The 1958-nt window shown below is 39.0% G+C and overlaps 1 long non-coding RNA gene across 1 annotated transcript; it reads left to right on the top strand.

Annotated features, from left to right (window-relative positions):
• The first annotated feature begins 690 nt into the window (after positions 1–690).
• On the top strand, positions 691–1642 carry LOC105370237 (uncharacterized). Its single transcript, XR_942025.3, has 3 exons — positions 691–923; positions 1172–1326; positions 1402–1642. It is a non-coding gene; the product is annotated as an uncharacterized LOC105370237 (long non-coding RNA).
• The last annotated feature ends 316 nt before the right edge of the window (positions 1643–1958 follow it).

Below are 1958 nucleotides of genomic sequence, written 5' to 3'. Positions count from 1 at the left end.
TTTTTCCTACCTGTCATTTAATGAAGAGGACTCTGAGGCCTCGCTGATTCACAATATGAAGGAATTATGTATTTTTAAATAGGCAGGAGGAAGGACACTTGATGAGGAGAATTTCTGGTAGATGGTGACATAAGAACAAAATAAAGGTTAATTATAAGTTGCCGAGATTTCAGAGTTTGTATGTTACTACACCTAGAATTACCTAAAATTATAATGAAACGTGTTTTTTTAAGTAGAGGTTAGCTAGGTCATTGGCTTAGTAGGCAGCATAGAAAATAAAACAAAATCATTTTGAGACAGCGAGGTGGGAGGGGGTCCCTAGAGAAACTCCAACCAGCCTGCCCACTGGGGTGGAGCCTTGGGAAATTCATGCTGTTCGCAGCGGGGAGGAGCCTAGCTCCTCCTCTTCCTATGTGGAACCTGGGATTCAAACTACAGAGTGGGAAATGCCCTAGTGGAGAGACTATGGCCATGGGAGAGTCCTTGTTTCCCCCATGTTTCCCTTTTCCACCCAATAAAATCCTGCTTCACTCACCCTTTAAATGTCTGAGAGCCTGAATTTACGTGGCTAGGAAACAACGAACCCCGTTTTTAGCTGAACTAAGGAAGAGTCTTGCAACAATTTCTGACACAACATTTAAGGCTGAGTATGTACTCTCTGAAGCCATACGTCTAAGGAAATATGTTGGAAAGTGGAATGCTAGTTATCTCTTTTTTTCCTAGTAAAAAATAAACCTTTGATTTTTGAGCATGAATAAAACAGCTCTCTAGTATTAAACTTGCAAAGGCTAAAAGCTGACTGCAAACGTTTACATCACCTCCTAAAGGCACACGTTCCTACTTCGACTTCAGATGTTGCCAAGGAGAATAAAGCACAAAGGAGAATTGTCTCTTGTCTGCATAGCAGAACAAAGAATATCGAGGTAAAGGGGATAAGGGAGTTTCTACCAAAAATAAAAAATTGTATCTAGCCTAAATAGGAGAACTGTCATCTTCGCAATGTCATGCAACTGACTGCATCGTTGTTATGAAGTACTAAGTGTTGCGTGGCCCCGATTCTTTCTTCAAGTGTCATGTTGCTCCTGCTTGCGTTAGTTTTAACCACGGTTAATTTTCCCGGCTCTACTCCTATAGATTCAGAGTTGGAGGGGCAGACATTTATCTGTTTTAGCTTACAGTTTGCCTCCTTGAGAGAACCACATCCAGATCTTGTGGAGATGACTCTTCATGACCTGGACTTTAAATTGGATACAGTTATTAGAGAAGATTTGAGTTGTCATCTTTGGGGAGAGGACACGATGTTATATGAGAAGAAAAGTGAAAGAGGTATTTGTTCCTTGACATGGGGGACGGTTGTAATAACAGTTAGCTGACGATATGAGTCTGTATTTCTCTCTACAGGGTGTAATTTTGCGTAGAAGCAGTTGTGAAGTCAGAAGTGACATTTCCCCGTAGTCCTAAGTGGTGCTCTGAAACTTGTTCTCATCGCTGGATGTAAGAAAAAGTGATTTTCCCTTTTCTACCCGAAGCAGCTAAGAGACTGCTGTGGTTTCTCATGTTCTCTTTCTTCATCGGCCATCTAGGTGTTAAGTTCATTGTATGGTGACATAAACAAGAAATAAACTTTCATTTGTTTAACCCATTTTGGATTTATCCATTACAGGAACTAGCATTACTTGAACTTAGTATCATATTAGAATGTTAGCTTCATGAAAACTGTTTTGTTGTTGTTCACTGCTTTATCCAGTCATGTGGAACTGTGATGGGTTCTAAATAAATAAGTGTAATAATGAATGAATCAAGGAAGAAAAGGTAGAAGACAACTAAAATATATTTATTTATTATCAACCTTTTATTTTCCTCTGTGGGAATATTCAAAATAAGGGTAACAACAAACCATTCAATATCAGCATAGCTGAGAAGTCTATGCCATTATAATAATCTGTATTATATTATAA

Source organism: Homo sapiens, chromosome 13 (genome assembly GCF_000001405.40).
Source record: "Homo sapiens chromosome 13, GRCh38.p14 Primary Assembly".
Classification (NCBI taxonomy): domain Eukaryota; kingdom Metazoa; phylum Chordata; class Mammalia; order Primates; family Hominidae; genus Homo; species Homo sapiens.
This window is presented reverse-complemented; position numbering and strand designations above follow the sequence as displayed.